Source organism: Homo sapiens, chromosome 5, assembly GCF_000001405.40.
Source record: "Homo sapiens chromosome 5, GRCh38.p14 Primary Assembly".
Lineage (NCBI taxonomy): Eukaryota > Metazoa > Chordata > Mammalia > Primates > Hominidae > Homo > Homo sapiens.
Genome location: NC_000005.10, coordinates 94,665,306 through 94,686,433, shown reverse-complemented (window position 1 = coordinate 94,686,433; position 21,128 = coordinate 94,665,306). Strand labels below are relative to the sequence as shown.

Sequence of the window (21,128 nt, the reverse complement as noted above, 5' to 3'; positions counted from 1 at the left end):
CAAAAAATAGGTCATATCACTATTCCTTGACTTTTAAGAGAAAATATTTAATGGCACATGTTCTCACACTTGAAAAAAACAATCATTAGGTTTGATTATTTCAGATACAAGTCTTGAAATTACATATATACAGATTAGGTAATATATGAATATATAGAGGGGATTTTATTTATCACTATACTTTCCAACTACCATTAAAGATCTCTTCCCACAATAGGGATGCTTCTTTGGAAAACCAGTAATTAGTTTTTAAATGAACATACAAGTATTTAATTTGCAATGATCAGTACTGAGTTGACAGGAAGAAAGTAGACTGCTTCCTATGACAACACCCATGAATCTTATCACTGCAGAAAAGGAGGAAAGGCACAAGGTAAAGAAGAAAAACATGAAACAAGAAGAAACGCACAAGGTAAAGAAGAAAAACAAGAAAGGCACAAGGTAAAGAAGAAAAACATGAAACGAGCATGTATAAAGAAAAACATGAAACAGGAGCATGTATAAAGAAGAAAAACATGAAACGAGCATGTATAACGACTTCCTCAGAAGTTTGCACCCACTCTACTATGGGGGATGGTGGATAATTTTTTTTTTTTTTTTGAGACGGAGTCTCGCTCTGTTGCCAGGCTGGAGTGCAGTGGTGCGATCTCGGCTCACTGCAACCTCCGCCTCCCAGGTTCAAGCGATTCTCCTGCCTCAGCCTCCCAAGTAGCTGGGACTACAGGTGCGTGCCAGATGGTGGATAATTTTAAATGATGAAACAAAAAACAAGAAAACACCAAGAGCCTCAAATATCTTCTACAAAACCTCAAGAACTTCAATAAGAAGAAAATGCATAAATATACCCATGAATTCAAAGTGATAAAGGAGTGACTATTTCCCATGTGATCTATTTAATATTATAAACTATTAATATTCTCTATGTAACATAATGAAAATGCAACAAAATGATAATGAAAGAATAAATAAGACCAACCAAGAGGATATCAAAAAAGCTAAAATTACAAACAATATAAAAAAGTTGTGATATTATACAATAAGGGAGATTAACTATAAATACTGGAAGAATAAAGAATAAGTCAATACAGTTAGCAAAGTAAACATAATAAACAGCAGAAGAGAAGAATTAAAATTATAAGCATTAAGTTAAAATATAGTTTTAAAATCAGACAATGATAAACTTAATAGCAGTATAAGGCATAAAAGCTGGCCTCTCTATTCAGGGGTGGAATTCTTTCAGCGTGAAGAGAATGCAGACACCCAGTCAATGTCCTGCTCAGATGCCTTCATAAAAGGCTGGGGCTCTAGTGTCTTGTAGTCCTTGACCCTTGACTCTGATTTTCAATAGTGGATGGGAGAAGTAAAAGAGGATTTGCTCTCAGGTAACATTTGGTAATTTCTGGTTGCCACATTGGGGAAAGGGATGCTATTGGCATCTAGTGGGCAAAGGCCCAGGACGCTGCAATACACAGGACAGCCCCAACAACAAATAATTATCCAGCCCAAAACATAATCAGTATACAGGCTGAGAAACTTGCCTTGACTAAAGAGATCTGATGCCCTTGCCTTGTGGCAGCTTGTCATAAGGAGTGTTTAAACCTTTGGGCAAATGGCTTCAGGTCAGATGTTAACCAGATACAACTAACCCCAAACAGATATATTATCACTGAATTTAGATAATCCCTTCCAATATGGCCTCTACAGAGATACTTTTTTTTTTTTTTTTTTTTTTTTTTGAGACAGAGTCTCGCTCTATTGCCCAGGCTGGAGTGCAGTGGCGTGATCTCGGCTCACTGCAACCTCTGCCTCCCGGGTTCACACCATTCTCCTGGCTCAGGCTCCCGAGTAGCTGGGACTAGAGGTGCTCGCCACCACGCCCAGCTAATTTTTTGTATTTTTAGTAGAGACAGGGTTTCACCGTGTTAGCCAGGATGGTCTCAATCTCCTGACCTTGTGATCTGCCCGCCTTGGCCTCCCAAAGTGCTGGGATTACAGGGGTGACCCACCGCACCTGGCCGAGATACAATTTTTATGAGTTGGAAAGGAGAAAAGAATTACTTACAACCCGTTCTCTTGCTACTACTGAGGCTCTGTTAATATTATCTAAAAATGTACAAGCAGTAAACTGAAGGATAAGAATCAAAAGATAATTTGAACATTTAATCTCTAATTATATACATTAAAAAGCCTATCTATCATCACAGAGTGTACTGCAACCAATTGATCTCTTAACGTAAGAACTCTAGACAGAGGCAAAAGCAAAGCAAAAATAACTTGTAGAGTTCAAAAGAGTTGATCTCACATTGAAATTTACAAATGGAGTTATTTATCTAATAAGGATCACATCTGGTAGGCTTATAGAAATAAGGAATACAAAGTATTAATATGACAGGTCGACATATTACCAGGCCACAAAGTCAAGGGGAATAAAAAATAATAGATGAACAAGAGAACACAAGAAAATTAGCCCGTGGACTGTAAGAACTTTAAGGAAAGGGTCATACTTGTAGTCCTTACAGTATATAGGTCATTAATCTGTACAGAGTAAACATTTAGTATTTGACAGATGAATGAATGAACAGTTAGCAAATACCAATAACTAATAACAGAAAGCCAAGCTGGGACAATCTTTTTAAATCAAGTTAATGAGATCATGCTACTCTCTTGTTTCAATAGCTTCTAACTCCTTAACAAGGCTTACAAATTCCTACACAAACTCCCTTAACCCTTCTTTGGCCTTATTCTGGCCTCTCTTCCCATCAGCCAGGCCCCAGAAGGTCTCAAACAGTCCTTCTTTCCTATTCAGAGTTTTGGTAAATGTTACCTTCTGACTAAAACAATCTGCCCTGTCAAACTTCTACTTACTCTTCATGTTCTGCATTCCATGGTCATACAGTATAAAAGTAAGTTCACCAATCTCAACACCTAGTTTTTCCTGTTCAGAGCACTTATTTTAAATGACATATTTATATTAACTTAATTACCGTTTATCTCTCTTAAAGTTCCAAAAGTAAAAATAAAATAAAAAAACCACAAGGACCATGTTTTGTTTACTTCTTCCACTGTATAGAAAACTGTTTAGCTCAATGCCTGGTAGAATGCCAATAAAATTTTGCTGAATAAACGAAGAGAACAGAAACATTTTGGCTTAGAGTTAGTAATGATACATAAACATTTATATTTAGGAAAAAGGTCTGAAGCATGGAAAGAAATTAAGGGATAACAAAGCAAAAGTGAATAAAGGTTTGGAAAAAGTATTTATCAGGCAATAATGATGTAATCTGAGAAAGGCAAAGGAAATTTATTAAAGTTCTCCAAAGATATGAAAAAAAAACCTATAGTAAATTTTGATGACATCTTCTTTCCCACTGAAACAACTGGAGAAGAAATACGTTTAAGTCAGGATTGGCAAACTATGGTGTGCTGCCTGTTTTTACGAATAAAGTTTTACTGGAACACAGCCATGCTGTCTGTTTATGTATTGTCTATGGCTGCTTTCTTACTACAACTGCAAAGTTGAGTGGCAGGGAGAGACTGTAGGGCCTAAAAAGCCAGTAATATTTACTGTCTGGTACTTAACATTGAACGAATTTTGTTAATCTGTAGTTTAAGCCACTACATGAGGAATTTCAATCAGGCATAAAAAAGAAATTTCAGATAATTTGAGCTTAAAATACAGAAAAGAAAATTTCTGTCCAAAGTGTTTAGAAACAACATAGAGTGGCATCTATATGGAACTGATGAACATGAGATCTGATGGAAAAAATTTTATTTATCTTCTAAAATATCTGTTGCCTTAATTCTTGACAAAACAATTATAAACTAAAAATTATACTAAACTGAAATGAATTTGATAGATGTGAATCTCAGTTGTGTCACAGTATGAATTTTGTACTTCTGAACTAGGAAATATTAGAACATCCAGTTTACCATAATTGAGAAAGATGGACCGATATCTTCAACTGGAAGTTATATAACAGTGAAATTAGAACATCTTTACTAATGACTTGGGAAAAGCAAAAGATAGTAACTGAGTAGAAGAATAATGCAAAATAAATGATTTTTTTTAAAAGGAATATCCGCAGAGAAAAGAAATGAGGGAAAAAAAGAGGTGGCAGACAATGAATTTCAAAATTCTTCATCAAAATATGAACAAAATGGACATTATTACAACACCCCAGAATTTTGATTCTGTGTGTGACTAACATGAGCTTAAACTCAACCTTAGTGTTACTGTTATAATCCTGTTGATGGATTATTTTGCTCTCAAAGATCTATTAATATATTTGATCACTAACATTCAAAACTTTAGATGAGATTTAAATTGTCACTATTGAAAAGTGTTTTTAAGCCTTTTTCTTTACCTTTCTCCAAATGTATACATGTGCACACGCGCACATGCACACACACACACATGCACACACACGCACAGTTGGTTGCTTAGCCTTCAAATTTGGTTATAGCTAGGCAATTTAAAAGTTTTAAACATTATTTTTTGTTGTTGAGAAGAGTCTCACTCTGTCCCCCAGGCTGGAGGCTACTGGTTTATGATAAAATGTTCACTGGATTTCTGTCTCTTGACAAAGGTTAAACATCAACCTGCACTAACAGAAAAGAAAAAACTAGACATGGATGAAATTGGAAATCATCATTCTCAGTAAACTATCGCAAGAACAAAAAACCAGACACCGCATATTCTCACTCATAGGTGGGAACTGAACAATGAGAACACATGGACACAGGAAGGGGAACATCACACTCTGGGGACTGTTGTGGGTTGGGGGGAGGGGGGAGGGTTAGCATTGGGAGATATACCTAATGCTAGATGACGAGTTAGTGGGTGCAGCGCACCAGCATGGCACATGTATACATATGTAACTTACCTGCACATTGTGCACATGTACCCTAAAACTTAAAGTATAATAGTAATAAATAAAAAATAAAAAAGAAAATAGAAAAATATTAATTTGAACCATTTTTAGAAATACATGTTTAAAACTTTTGGCTGGGCGCAGTGGTTCACACCTGTAATCCCAGCACCTGGGAAGCCGAGGTGGGCAGATCACCTGAGGTCTGGAGTTTGAGACCAGCCTTGCAAACATGGTGAAACCCCCATCTCTACTAAAAATACAAAAAGTTAGCCAGGCTTGGTGGCATACACCTATAACCCCAGCTACTTGGGAGGCTGAGGCACAAGAATTGCTTGAACCGGGGAGGCAGAGATTGCAGTGAGCCGAGATCATGCCACTGCACTCCAGCCTGGGGGACAGAGTAAGACTCTGTCTCAAAAAAAAAGACAAAAGAAATAATGTTTAAAACTTTTAAACTGCCTAGCTATAACCGAATTTGAAGCCTAAGCAACCAACTGCGTGTGTGTGCACATGCACACGTGTACATTTTGAGAAAGGTAAAGAAAAAGGCTTAAAAGTACTTTTCAATAGTGACAATTTAAGTCTCATCGAAAGTTTTGAATGTTAGTGATCAAATATATTAATAGATCTTTGGGAGCAAAATAATCTGTGACAGGATCATAATAGTAACACTAAGGTTCAGTTTAAGTTCATGTTACTCACAGAATCAAAGTTCTAGGTTTTACACATGTCATGTGAAAACTGAAAATAACACTGGATAACAATGTCCTGCTTTAAAGCGAAGGGAAATTCAGAATATTAGTGAAGAAAGCATTGAAGCAAATGTATAACAGGTAGTAGAATCCTTTTAATACAAGGCTCATTATTTCATGCATTTGGCTAAACTATAAAATAAATTATAATTCCTTAAGGGCAATTACTATGTATTGGAAACAAGACATCTAACTATCCTGATAATCTCTAAAGCCACTGCTAATCCTCTACTAGGTCTCCAAACTCAAATTTCATTAAGGAATGAAAACAGGAAATTCTGTTAGTCAAATGCTTAGTTCCCATTCTAGCAAATAATGCCAGAATTCTGTTTTCTGAAAAGGATAAAAACCACTAAACTACCTAGTAGGAATGGTGGGAAAGAAATATAAGAAAGGGTTCTGCAGGAAGATTGAATGTTAGCTAAGAAATGTTAAAGTCATGCAACAAAGGACAGCTACTCCACAAAAGGAACTGTAATCACCCCCTCAGCTCAATGAAAAAGAAAAAAATAAAAGAGATAAAATGCTTTAGATAAAAATCTTCTAACTTTGGTAGTATAAAAAGAGAACTCTCTCTGCAGAGGGCATCATCGAATAAATCCTGAACCCAGTTATAACCTGGATTCCTATTCTGAAGTCTCTCTTCAAAGTATTAAAGTGATTGATGGCATACTGAAGAATTTTTTCTTTATATAAAATCAAGATACACTGAAACACATGTGTAGCAGAGTACTTATTTGGCAGTTTAAAATATCAAGTATATAAAAGTATATAAAAATAATCTTTTATAGGTAAGAACCACAAAAAAACTTACTTGGTTTAAAATGTATTCATTTTAGGAATTAAGGATTACAGAAATAAAGAAATAAAGAAAAAAAGGGAAGGATGGGCAAAGACTCTCCCTAAACTGGCTATGGAGTTTGGGAATCTACATAAGGTCTTTATGGAAGCCTCCTTCAGTCTAGAGGCCCAAAGAATTGGGTAGAACTTTTCACCTTGTGAAATGAGTTCTGCTATCATGTTTCTTAAATAACACTCCTTCCTCCCTTTATTTTAGGGGAGACTTTAAAGTAGGTAATGGGGAGAAAAGAAGAGTGAAAAAAATTATCCATATAAATTACTTCTGTTTGCTTCATCCATGTTCATTTCTTGTTAGAGCACCAGACTCAATGGGGAAAAAAATAGTAGCAAGTTTTTTTTGTTTGTTTTTTTTTTTAAAGAGACAGGGTCTTGCTCTGTCACCCAGGCTGGAGTGCAGTGGCACAATCATGGCTCCCTGCAGCCCTGGACTCCTGGGCTCAAGGGATCCTCCCACTGCAGCCTCCAGAGTAGCTGGGACTACTAGCATAGACCACGTCCAGCAAATTTTTAAATTTTTTTTTAAAGACAGAGTCTTGCTATGTTGCACATGCTGGTCTCAAACTCCTGGGCTCAAGAGATCCTCCCACCTCGGCTTCCCAAAGTAGGTTGGGATTACAGGTGTGAGCCACTGCACCAGGTAAAATAATTATATTTGAATAATAAATGTATGTGGGGGGAAGTCTCCTGTAATGTTTAGAGGAAAATAAGAATGCAAAATTACATATATAGTATGAACTCAACTATACAAAAATGCTTAGAAATACCAGAAAGACATTAAAAAGTTAACAGCAGTTATCTGTGTAGGAACAATATGGGTACTTTAAATCTTCCTCTTTATATTGTCTGTGTGTGTGAATCTATGTGTGCGTGCATCCATAACTATTTTAAGGAAAGTTTCAAATGAACATATGTTAAAGCTTACAGACTGCTTAAAAGAAATTCAAAACTAATTTCCAGAATGGGTCTGAAAAAAACAGAACATAGACAAACTTACCATCACACGAAAGAGAAACATAACTTCCTAAGTCATCAGACATGTGTCGCATCACATTTCTACCCATCTTAAGACCAAGGAAAATCCAATAATCTATTGCTGCTCCAAGAATTCCAGCCAATAAGTAAGCTAGTTCATGTTTGAAGACCTAACATTAAGATACAAAAAAATTACTAAAATATATTACAATATTGAATTTCTGTTAGTATTTATTTTGAATACTTTTTGAGGGGCAAAACATAGCTATTTAAAAATACAGGGTATGTAATGATTAAAGGTATTCTTAAGAACCCTAGCTAACTAATTCTCTCCCCTCCATCTCTCTCTCTCTCCACATGACAAAAGAGTTAACAAAGCAAATTTTCCAAGGACCTACAACTTAACAGTTTAGAATAAACTTTAATTTTATCCAATACCATCAAGTTTGTTAGGAAATAATTCCATTAAAATAATGAGAAAATACCTGGTTTTTGTAGATTTTTATAAATAGGAGAGATAGGACTATAAAAGAAGATAGATTTATCTACCTCCACTGTTTATATACAGAATTATTCTTTACATTTCTCTTTATGACATTTTCCAGAAAGACTTGAGAAACCCAATGAATAAAAGTTCTAGTAAACAAGATTATTCATTTGCTATAATATACTGATTCCAATTTTTATTATTTAATTATATATCAAATACTAATTACCCAACTTAGAGATGTAGAGATCAGTTTTAAAAGTATATCACTGGCCGGGCGCGGTGGCTCACGCCTGTAATCCCAGCACTTTGGGAGGCCGAGGTGGGTGGATCACGAGGTCAGGAGATTGAGACTATCCTGGCTAACACGGTGAAACCCCGTCTCTACTAAAAATACAAAAAGTTAGCCGGGCGTGGTGGCGGGCACCTGCAGTCCCAGCTACTCGGGAGGCTGAGGCAGAAGAATGGCGTGAACCCGGGAGGCGGAGCTTGCAGTAAGAGGAGATTGTGCCACTGCACTCCAGCCTGGGTGACAGAGTGAGACTCCGTCTCAAAAAAAAAAAAAAGTATATCATTTTATATGATTACTTTTATAATAAACATCATTAAATTCTTATAAGAAATGTAACAAGGCATACAAACCTTCTAAGCGTGCTTTACCCTACGCTAATGTTTGAAAGTATTTTTCTAATCTCTAAAATTCAGTAGAAACTATGAAGATGAAGAAGTGTGAAAATGAAATTTTAAAAACACCTTTGATTGAAATATAAACACTTTTTCAAAGCATTAAAACCAGCTGAAATTCTTATGTTCTTGTTATTTGTTGTCTAGGCATGTTGGATATGTAGGAAAAAAAATCACTAAATTAATAGTTGGGTAAAAGGCATATGAAAACATTTTAATAAATGCTACAGTAATAGATTATAACTATGTTCTGCCATCTAATTTCTTTCTAATTAATCCCATATTAGGCATATATTATGCTTAAATAACATAATATATAACATTCTGTTCATGTATAAAAGATTACAGTATAAAAGGATCTAAGAACCTGGTCTATAACTAATAGATCTAATATTACTAATAACCTAATCTATTATCACAATATTTATTAAAACCTTTTCACATGCCTTTTACCCAACTGTTTTGTGATTTTTTCACATATCCAACAAGCCTAGACGACAAGTAACAGGAATTTCAGCTGGTTTTAATGTTTCGAAAAAATGTTTATATTTAAATCAAAGGTGTTTTTAAAATATTATTTTCACACTTTGTCTTCATAGTTTACATGGAATTTTAGGGATTAGAATAGTACATTTTACATAAAAGGCACTTCCAAATCAGGTTCTTGGATCCTTTTATACTATAATCTAAACTAACACACTCATAAACAGTATGTTATTATGTTATATATTACGGAATAAATTATGTGTATTTCAGTGTATTAGAGTTATATATTACAGACCAAACTAGCACATATTATGCCTAATATGGGATTAGTGAGAAAGAAATCCCTAGCACTCTGAACCCTCAGTGACTACTGGATTTGTTTCTCCTGCCCTCAGGTAAGAAATTTCTTATATGTATATTCAATATTTCATTGGGATATCATTCCATATCTAATAGCTCTAGCTAGCAGATAAATGATTTCAAAACCAAAGTTTAATTTCTGGTTTATTGTGCAAACATAAGCAAATGGTCCAGCAGCACATAAAACCAGCTTGCCAGAACAGTGTTTATGGAAGGAAAACACAGTCAGGACCAGTAGCATGTGTGCAGGTCCTCTGTTGTCCTATCACATCAAGGGCAGCATACTGCATTCGTGTAGGGCTAGACATTAGAATCTAGGAGAGAGACCCTCAAGTGTGGGGCTGAGGAGATTTTTAAAAGCTGCATGATTAAGAAAGTGGTGTACTTCTTCGGACATGATCAGCGACCAAGACAGCCAGCCAGATCCTAGCAGGTGAGTCTTCACAGGTGGCTGTCAATCCCACCCAGTCTCCTGCCTTGATAGGACAGCTGAGTTTAAGCCTTGCAGTTGCGGCTATATGGCATGGGAAACCAGCAGCAGGTCTGACCACATCAGTAGCACCAACACCTCCCCTGGTGTGATCGGCAGGACTAGGGTCTAGTGCTAGTCTCCAGAAAACACTGCAGGAAATCAACTCCATTCTCTGTAAAGCCAGTATCTTGCTTGATCACTCTGAGCAAGTTAGTTAATCCTTACTTCTCACTGTTATCAAGAGAATATAAAACAGAACAGTGAAAATATATATTTAAACTAGTAAACTGATTATGTCCATATGCACATATGCATCCACAAAATGTTCCTTCCAACATAATATGTATCTGAATATCAGCAGTGACAGTACTCAGGAAAGAAGCAAGAGGTTGGTAAATTTTGATTTCTGAAAGTATTCTCCATCTCAAGGGTATAGTAAATCAAGATCACTTTAGACCACCCAGGCTTTAAGACTCTGGGCAGGAAAGAAGGATGTTAGCCCACAAAGTGAAGCCTTATATAAAAACACAATCCAGCTTTCCAACAACCAAAAACAACATTTAAAAAAAAAAAAAAAAAAAAAATCAACCAGTTGGGACTTTCCCTCCTTCCTTATATAAATATGTGGTACATACAGTTAAAATCACAATAGAATATTAATATATTGCTTAATATTAAATTTACCTTGATATTAATGTTATTAAACAGAAGAGGTCTTGCAGTGATTTCGAGGAATAACTATAGCTTTTTTACTATGATAAAAAAGATCCTGCCAAAGTTGTTGTTCTTTTCATGTCATTAGCTAAACATGCACACTACTACATAGCCATAATAGTAAGTTTTTATATGAAAAGACACTTTCAACTCAGGTTCTTAGATCCTTTTATACCATAATCTTAACTAGCACACTCATAACAATAATAGGGCCAAGACAGTGTGCTATGGACTATACTCACTGCCACTTTAACAATACATCAACGATGCTATTCCTTCCAGTATTAGTGGATATATAAGCTTTAGAAATAGATTAGTAAGAAAATAGTAAATAAATCATCAAAGGAAAACAGCTTTCTTGGAATACTGAAATATTTGTTAAAGCTGACAGAAGAGAACACGAATACCCTAAGAATTAACAAAGAAATAAAAGGTTGACAAGATTTGCATATATGATATATATTTACCTTAGAATTCCTTTCTAATATGTTTAACTCTATTACCAGACATTCTGTCAATGTGGTTCTATATCATCTGCCAGTAGAGATAACTTCTAGTTTATAAAATTGGCAATCTTCCAAAACTTGACTAATCTGTAAAGTAGAACAAACTAGCATCTTGGCCTTCTGACTCCCAGGTTAGGGATTTCCATGATATCCCACTGTAATATGTGACAAACTACTCTGTTGGAAAGATGCAAACATAAAGCACACACTGTGCCTCTTCCTGTTTTAAACACTGGCATTTGAAACATGAGAAAGTGTGGTGCAGTGGAGACTTGGCCTCTAGTCAAGGCTTTGCCCTAACAAGCTGTGACACCTTGAATAAGTTATTTAAACTCTTTATCAACTTTCTTATCTATTAATATAAACTAGCTTACATTTCTACCTATATTGTAGAATTATCAATAGCACTTAAGAACATCTCAAAGAAAAGTGGGACTAGTAAAAATTGTACCTCCTCCATAACCTTGACACAGCCCACCTCTGCTCTTTGCCAAGGAAAGCCCAACATTTTCTCAGATTAATGACAATGAAATTCACTGCCATTGTGTCACTCTGCAATACTTGCTGATTGACATTATGACAAAACAATATTAGCATAAACTGAGGACTTCTGTTTAGCTAATGACTTAAATTGAATACTTCAACTCAGCAAATCAAGAAACAAATGCTTTACAGTACAGAAAATGATGTCTGTGAACATGCATGGAATTCTTGAAACTGGAAACTGCCAAAAAGATTTAATTAAGTACAAGAATGAATTCTAGCAGAAAGGTAATACAATTTTTAAAAAGCAGTTTTATATCAATTTAAGCAATTCAAATGTTAAATAAAATATTAATTTGCAAAATTTAAAACCAGTTCTCATATCACAATGCTACAATTTATTGCAGACTGCTTCACACATATGTTGCTTTTATTTATAAGTTTGAACAAAAATCTTCAAGTTAAATATGTATAAATCTGTTACTATTTACATCAGAGCTTCTTAAGTAATTTCTTATCTGTGATAGTCCCTTGAAGACTTAGTAAAATTGTGACAACATCATTTTATTGTTTTAAATTATAAATGAGCAATTTCATTTATGTAATCAAATGAATGAAAAAAAGAAACGTTCTATAATGAAGAAATATTTTCTATCCTTAATGATTGCATTGTATAAAAAGTAAATAAAAAGACAGATGGTAATTTATAAAGATGCTATCAGCTTTAAAGTGCTATACTCAATTGGCAATGAGGTCTAAATAGTAGTCCTATTTAAGTATTTTCAATTTCTGTAATTTGCAAAATTATACTTCCTTTTAAATCAGATACATGCACAAAACAGTGTCTACTCACCTGGTTATTGTTAAATAATAGGATTACTTGATCACAAACAAATCTAGCTATACTCAGAGCAATCTTCCCGTTTTAATGCTGATTTAGAAAAAAAAAAATAGTACCTCAAAAAGAACTAACTTTTATTTTCCTGCCTCAGACAACTAAACAAACAGTATTTTTTAAAAAACCAGCAAGAACTTCTATTTCTAATGAAGGCCTAGGTAATTCAGATGAATTTTTTTTTTTTTTTTTTTTTTTTAAGAGACAAGGTCTCACTCTGTCACCCAGGCTGGAATGCTGCGGCGCAATCATAGCTCACTGCAGCCTCCAACTTCTGGGCTCAAGCAATCCTCCCAGGGCAGCCTCTCAAGTAGTTAAAACTAATACATGTGCACACCACTACATCTGTTTTATTTTTGGTTTTGTTTTGTTTTTTTGGTAGAGATGGGGGTCTCACTATGTTGCTCAGACTGGTCTTGAGCTCCTGGCCGCAAGCAATCCTTCCACTTCAGCATATCAAAGTGCTGGGATTACAGGCAGGAACCACTGCACCCGGCCTCAATTGAACCCACTTAGAGAAGAAAACTAAAACTAAAAATGTTAAATAAAATAAGCAAAACATTTCAGAAAAAAAAGAGAACAAATTATGAGGAAGTGCTAGGCCAAAATCTAGTGAGGTACTCAAGGGAGCTACTCAGATACCTGACTTCGCCCTGAGGACTTTCACTGATTTTAAGGAAGAATCTAGAATACAGAACTGTGGTTTCTGGAGCACAAGGGAAGAAAAGATTAAAAAAAAAAAAAGTCATGGCCAAAAGCTAATTGCTCATAGGATGAAAAAGTGAAGGGCTTCATCCTCATGGTAAGAGTGAATCAGAAGCAAAACTAAATGTATATGTAGCCCTTTACTTCATTTGAACTACCCAGAGTCCCCCAAACATAGACATTGGATTAGAATAGTCCTTAACTAGTGGTACACCCAGGCACTTGGCAGAAGTTCAACAGAAATTCTTTCTGGGGGAAGATACTCTGGTCTTTATCACGTATTGTTTCTACAAATAACTTCTCAAATGCAATTTAAAAGCATATAGTGAATAATAAGCTTGCAAGAGAAAATAAAAAAGCACAAGAGAAGGAAACAGCAAAAACAACAACAGAAACAGACCCATAAAGACTTCAGATATGGAATAATCAAGCATAGATAATAAATGTCATTGCCATGTTAAAGACAAAAGAAAACCTTGAAACTCATAAAAACAAGTCATAGTGGTTTGGAACAGTTAAAAAGTCTTTTAACTGGAAAAAACACAAAAAATTTAAATGCAATGGTCATGTTTAACAATATACTGGACATAGCTGAAGAAAGAACTAATGAACTAAAAACTGGACGAAAATACTATCCAGAATGTGGCAAGTACAGAAAAAAAAAATCTATATGGGGCGGGGGAAGAGGGAGAAAGAGGAGGACAGGGGAAATGGTAGAGGGAGAGAAAGAGGGAGAGAGAGAGAAAGGGAGGGAGATACAAGGTGAAAAACACAAAGAATATGAAGAAAAGGTATAACGTAAGTTTAATGGTAATTTAAAACGTAGAGAAGAGAAAATGGATCTGAGGAAGTATTTGACGAGAAACTACATAAGCATTTTTGTTAAGACAGAATAGACTTCATGGTAGTTTGATACCAGAGCTCTCCACCCTAACTACTATGCTTACGATCCCTGAAAAAGATATTACCTAACTAGCAGTTATAGGATCATAACTAGTAGTCATGATATATCAGTTATGAATAATAAGGTGTCATTAGCATACATGAAGCAGAAACTTAAAAATAAATAGATGAGCAAATCAACAAAGTCGATTCAGAAGGATTGATTAAAACAATTATGAAGTTTGATCCAATCCAACAGAAAAAACACATTCTGGTTCCTAGTCTTATATGGAGCCAAAAAGAGAACTTCAGTAAATTTCAGATAGCAGAAATTGCATAAGGTGCATTCTTTCACTATAATTCACTATTAGAAACTAACCAAAAAAAGCACAGCCAAACAAACAAAACCCATCTATCTAGAAATCTTAAAACATCTTTTAAAAATATCTCTTGGATCAAAGAGGGAAATCAAAATTAACAATAGAAAATACTTTGAAAAAAAACAGAGCACTCTAGGTTAAAGTACCAAACTACGAAATGAATGTCAAGTTGTACTCAACAGGTAATTTATATTAGGTGGATGTATTAGAAATGAAGACTAAAAAGAAAAAAAGATTCAAGAAGATACGAGAAAAAGTAAAAAAAAAAAAAAATTAAAAGAAAAGAGCAAAATGAATGATGTAACGCAAAAAAGGAGATAATATAATTCCAAAGGGAGATCATTCTGAAAAGGAAAAAGGTGACTAATATTTATTATGCAACCAAAATGTGCCAAAGTTATGTTGCTATATACGCTATTATCCTTGAGATGGATAATACACTAAAATCACTATATGTTAAATTTCTAATGACAGGCAAAATCAACTTATAAACAAATATTTCAGAAAATAACTCAACATCAAAAGAGGTAGTTTTAAAATAATACTAATAAATATTAATATTTATTAGTAGTACCCCTCAAAAATTGTATGGATTGACTCATTTATTTTTAAATCTTAAGTTCTTCATGAATCAAATTGCACAAAAGTAAAAAATCTAGAAAGGTAAGTAACTAGAGATTTCTTAGCAGTAACTATCATATAATTCACTAGCTACTACATGCAAACATGAGACGATGAAGGAACCAGTCTCCAAGGACCTTTTACCTTAAAACTAAACTAAATAGAAAACAATGATATATTTGGGTACATTTTAATTGTTTTCGAGTGATCCAAAGAATAAAGAGGAGAGGAAAAGGTAAATAATTCAAAGTGCTGTTTCCATAGACTATTCATCTATAAATTAATCCTACTTACATCATTAGACTTGAATTTTTCCTTGTGAGAATATATAGTCCATTCCAAAAGCATATTTACTGGTTTGGTCAAAAGCCCAGAGGTTTCACTTCCTGACCAAAAAATTTCAAGAAGCATTGCCTTTCCTGTTATTTTCAGATTCTGAGAATCTGACCAGTCATACAACCTAATTAAAATATAAACAAAAAGTATATCTTTAAGCCAATTTGATCATGACAATTACTTGACATCTCTCCTGTCAAAAAAAATGCTAGCAATTTTTGAACATAGATCATAAAATATAAAGATTATAACAATTATAATAAAGGACAAAATATAAAAAATGGCCCCAGTTCAATAAAGTCACTGACAATGTATATATACACAGTAATCTATCTGCAAGTTTTAGAGCAGGAGCAAAACTTACCATTGTAGGCTCAGTGTTTAAAATTGGTGTAGTTTTTTACTTAGCATTCAATTACTAAAGAATTTTTTTAAAATCCTAAAAAATGAAAACACTATTATCCATCCAAATGAACAGTGGAAGTGAACTGAGGAAATTTTTTAAAAGGGCATATAAACCTTTACTCCCACTGAGAATATCTGGAAATATGTTTTAAAAACAAATCTATCTTAAAATAGAAAATAAGGTGACTTTTTAGAAATATATTTATAATAATTGTAAAAAAAAAATGGTGCATAAAAACAACCAAAATTTAGAAAAGTGTTATTCTTGCGATTAGAACTTACTTTTGACTCAGATGTTGTACTTCACTTTCAATTAAATTAAAGAAAAATTTGAGTAGCGTCAGGTGGAGCACCTTGGAGCCAATATTTTCTGAAATTTGATGACAAAAGCTTTCATTGAAAAGGCAAGACCTGAAAAACATGAACCCAAAAATCTATAACATACAAGCAATTCACTAAGTCATTTGTGAACAAAATATTTCTCCTTCTAGAATACTGCTGGAATTTTAATAAAATTTTCTTAAAATAGAAAGTTCAACAAAATTTTATGAATATATTTCTTCCTTCAAAAATTAAACAATGTCAAATATCTCATGAGTACTTAATTCTTAATAAATAGATCTAATTTCTCAATTTTTCAAGTTATTATAATATTTAATGACTAGCAGGTACTCTCCCTTTGTGCTCTTTATTTCACTGATGAGAACAAAGATTATAGATTTCATTAAGTCCTTTTGATTTAAATGACCAGCTAACCTCTCAATTTATAATACTCGCCAGAATCCTCCTCTTTCTTACCCAAGATTACTTTCTTTTTCATTAGTTAGTAAATGAAGATTATTTAGGGCTACTTTTTTAGCGTTTTTAATATTCATTATTTTATTTTCTTTCTGTCTTCTAGAGCAGTCCTCTCCAACTGAACTTTCTGTGATGATGTATATGTTCTACTAGACACTTGAAATGTGGCTTGTATACCCAAGGACCCACATTTTTAATTACTTTGTCTGAATAAAATTTAAATATAAATAGATATGGCTAGTGGCTATTGGGTCAGACAGCACACTTCTATAATATATTTCTAAAGAGAATAGAAGATTACTCAGAACTCTAGGATTTAAGAAATAGTGTCTAGGTAACACTATTTATTACAATCTCCCACTTTTCTTATTGATTATATCAACAATGCACTTATAACTTTCTACCTCTGTCTCCACTTCCGCTGTCTTCTTTTTTAATACAACATTCTCAGGAGAGTCCTTAGTAGCTTTAACAATTTATTTAATATTCAATCTATCTATAAGATCCTTCATGCCCACATAGTTAATCAGTCTTTCTGAAAACTGTCAGAGATAGAGAACTTACGTTTCTCTATGCATTATGGAATATTTCAAATATATACAAAAGTAGAGACTAGTATTACTTAGCTCATTCATATTCCTACCACTTCCCTAAGCACCTCCACAGTACCCCATTATTTTGAAATGAAATCTGGGTATTTTTGTTTAAAAGTCTATTTTTAAGCTGCCCAAAATCTATCACCTACAGCATCAATAAATTCATCCAAACCTTTATTAAGTACTTACATTCCAGGCATTATATTAGATATTAAGGATGGAGATATTTAAGACTGAACACCTTCTGTAAGAGGGAAGTTTAAAGAAAGAAAAACAAGACTGAGCACCTCTCTTTAAGAAAGTCATAGGCCTGATGTGAATGACAAACTTAAAGGAAAGGTCAAGAGTAAGAAAGTGGCAGCTAAATTGCATTTTAAGGGAAAACTATGGCTGAGCATGGTGGCCCATTCCTGTAATCCCAGTGCTTTGGGAGGACAAGGTAGGAGGATTGCTTGAGCCCAGGAATTTGAGACCAGCCTGGGCAACACAGGGAGACTTCACCTCTACAAAAAATTTAAAAATTAGTCATGTAGGCCTGGCACAGTAGCTCATGCCTGTAATCCCAGCACTTTGGGAAGTGGAGGCGGGTGGATCACCTAAGGTCAGGAGTTTGAGACCAGCCTGACCAACATGGTAAAACTCCATCTCTACCAAATACAAAAAAAAATCAGCAAGGCGTGGTGGCGCATGCCTGTAATCCCAGCTACTTGGGAGGCTGAGGCAGGAGAATCGCTTGATCCTGCGAGGCGGAGGTTGCAGTGAGCCGAGATCGCACCACTGCACTCCAGCCTGGGCAACAGAGCGAAACTTCTTCTCAAAAAACAAACAAACAAACTACAACCACAACCACAACAACAAAATTGGCCAGGTGTGGTGGTGGGCACCTGTAGTCCCAGGTACTCAGGAGGCTGAGGCAGGAGAGTGGCCTGAACCCAGGAGCTCAAGATTGCAGTGAGCTATGATCCCGCCACTGCACACTGTCCTTGGTGACAGTGAGATTTGAAAAGGAAAGAAGAGAAAAGAAAAGGGAAAAGGGAAAGGAAGAAAAGTGAAGACAAGGGACAAAGGAGAAGAGAGGAGAGGAGAGAGGAGAGAAGAGAGAAGAGAAGTGAAACGAAGCAGTGAGGCATGGTGGCTCATGCCTTTAATCCTGGCACTTTGGGAGGCTGAGGCGGGCAGAAAACTTGAGCTCAAGTGGTGGAGACCAGCCTGGGAAACATGGTAAAACCCCATTTCTACAAAAAATACAAAACTAGCCAGGCGTGGGAGCACATGCCTGTAGTCCCAGCTATTCAGGAGGCTGAGGCGGGAGGATCACCTGAGCCTGGGAGTTTCAGGCTGCAGTGAGCCGTGATTGTGCCATTGCACTCCAGTCTGGGCAACAGAGTGTCTTAAAAAACAAAACAAAACAAAACAAACAAACAAACAAAAAAGCTAGGAAATTCGGAAAACATAAGAGCAAAAGACAGGATATGGAAAATAACTATTGGACACATTCAAGAAAGTGGTGAAGATGAGAACTGAGACATATATAAGGGCTAACTCATGAAGGGTCTTACGTATTTCGCTAAGAAATCTGAACCATCTTCTATAGGTAGTTCAATGTATGTGAGTCAATGAAGGACTTTAATATGGGAAATGACAAGATCACTTTGGAAAGAGCATACTGTGGGGGGGTACTTTGGAAGAAAAATTAAAAGGAAAAAAGTAGACCCAAGATCAATAAAGCAGCTACTGCAATAGTTTATATAAGAAGAAACAGGAACTTTAAAATAAAGACAATTGACAGTGAAGAAAGGAATAGATTTGGAAATTATGAAGGATGTCAGCCACATAAACTCTATTTTCTCACATCATATACCTATGCTGGGCTTGTACTGTTGGGCTTGTACTTTTGTGCGGTATTGTTTACATCTCAGTCACTTTCAAAGTGCAGGAACTGTTATTTAAATCATCTTTTTAATCCCTAAAATGTAGTACAGTGTCTGGCTCTCCGTAAGTACTCAAGAATTTGTTAAAAGAATGAATAAATGCATGCTGGTTAACTGATTAGCTCACTTTAAATATATCACAACCAAGATGGTATGTGAATCTTTATGATCTCAAAGAGCTAACCAGAGGTCTAGCCTTTGCATGGCTAGTCAGGTGTCCTTTCTCCACTATGAACCTCCTGAAACTGGACACTTAAATTAAAAAAAAAAAAAAAAAAAAAAAGATCTTCCCAGCCAGGCGTGATGGTCCACTCCTATAATCCCAGGACTTTGGGAGCCCAAGTCAGGCAGATCACTTGAGGCCAGCAATTCGAGACCAGCCTGGCCAACATGGTAAAAGCCCATCTCTACTAAAAATGAAAAAATACAAAAATTAGCTGGACGTGGAGGCACATGCCTGTAACTCTAGCTACTTGGAAGGCTAAGGCATAAGAATTGCTTGAGCCTGGGAGGTAGAGGTTACAGTGAGCCAAGATCAGGCCACTGCACTCCAGCCTGGGTGACAGAGCGAGACTCATGTCTCAAAAAAAGAAAAGATCTTCCCAGAAGAATAAGGGTTATCAAATACAGTTATTTGAATAGCAAGGGGAAAACATTTTCTGTTAGGGAGAAAGAAGGTGAAACAGAATTTCTGGAGACACTAACAACTGAAAGACAGAGGAAGGTCTAGGCAGTGACAGCATGTGCAGAAGCATAAAAGAGATGACATATTTAGGAAATATTAAGTTCTGTTTTAAAATTCAAATTTCTAGCTGAAAAAAATATAACTGAAGCCCTAAAATAGATACTATAGTTACAAATGTCTACACTTTTGGTGACAAAAACTGATGATATGCATATTCCATAAATTAATTTTCTTCATTTAAAAAACAATACACAAATTTCTATTTTGTTAAAAATAATAATGATTTGGCTTTCTAGTGAGTCCATTTCATGCATTCATTTTTTATTTTTTTAGGAAACAGACTGAAAAACATGACCAATATAGATTTGCCTTTTCATAAGTTTTGCAATAAATACAATACATATTTGTATTTGCAACAAAACTTTTCCAAAAGTAGAAAGATACTTCTTTCATCAGTATCTTAAAAAAATAATTAGCATAACAACTACTCAATGAAATGTAGCATCGTCAAATGTGAAATTCCTTACCTGATAAGGACTTCTACTAAAGACCATGCTCCTTTCATACAAGTTGGACACTGAAACAACTCTAAATAATATCTCGACATGGCTGGAGACTTCCAAGGAGGATGCAGGTGAAGAAGAGCTGACAATATATGAAAGTATCGACCAGAAAATGTATCTATGTTATCCTATTATTTAAAAATAAACAAACAAATAAAACACTATAGCTAAAAGTAGTTTGACTCTCTAATTCAGTCTAAAACCAAAACAGTAACCCTGGCCTAACTTTCTTTTTTGAGACGGAGTCTGGCTCTGTCACCCAGGCTGGAGTGCAGTGGCACGATCTTGGCTTACCTCAACCTCCGCCTCCTGGGTTCAAGCGATTTTTCTGCCTCAGCCTCCTGAGTAAGTAGCTGGGACTACAGGCACCCACCACCATGCCTGGCTAATTTTTGTATTTTTAGTAGAGATGGGATTTCACTATGTTGGCCAGGCTAGTCTTGAACTCCCGACCTTGTGATCTGCCCACCTCAGCCTCCCAAAGTGCTGGGATTACAGGTGTGAGCCACCACGCCCGGCCTAACGCTGGCCTAAGTTTCTTGCCAAATATACGTGTTTAGACAAAGGAGAGCAGATGGAAGCATCATGTTTAGCTAATTAAATAAAGCAACTGAGAGACAGGCACACTCTATGTACAGCTGATACCTGAATAACAGGTTTTAACTGCATGGGTCCACTTACAC

The 21,128-nt window shown here is 35.3% G+C and overlaps 1 protein-coding gene across 10 annotated transcripts in view; it reads right to left on the bottom strand.

Annotated features, from left to right (window-relative positions):
• Positions 1-21,128, bottom strand: part of SLF1 (SMC5/6 complex localization factor 1) — a 79,391-nt gene that overhangs the window by 11,188 nt on the left and 47,075 nt on the right. For 8 of the 10 annotated variants that reach the window (XM_017009979.3, XM_047417830.1, XM_047417831.1 and 5 more), the window contains 4 exons: positions 20,410-20,573; positions 16,155-16,283; positions 15,426-15,591; positions 7,479-7,626 (listed from right to left, as the gene is read on the bottom strand). In XM_017009979.3, the coding sequence (XP_016865468.1) occupies positions 7,479-7,626; positions 15,426-15,591; positions 16,155-16,283; positions 20,410-20,573 (607 nt within the window). Of the gene's footprint in view, positions 1-7,478; positions 7,627-15,425; positions 15,592-16,154; positions 16,284-20,409; positions 20,574-21,128 lie in introns of those variants that run through there. The other 2 variants (XM_017009983.2, XM_024446239.2) reach the window with 2 other exon arrangements.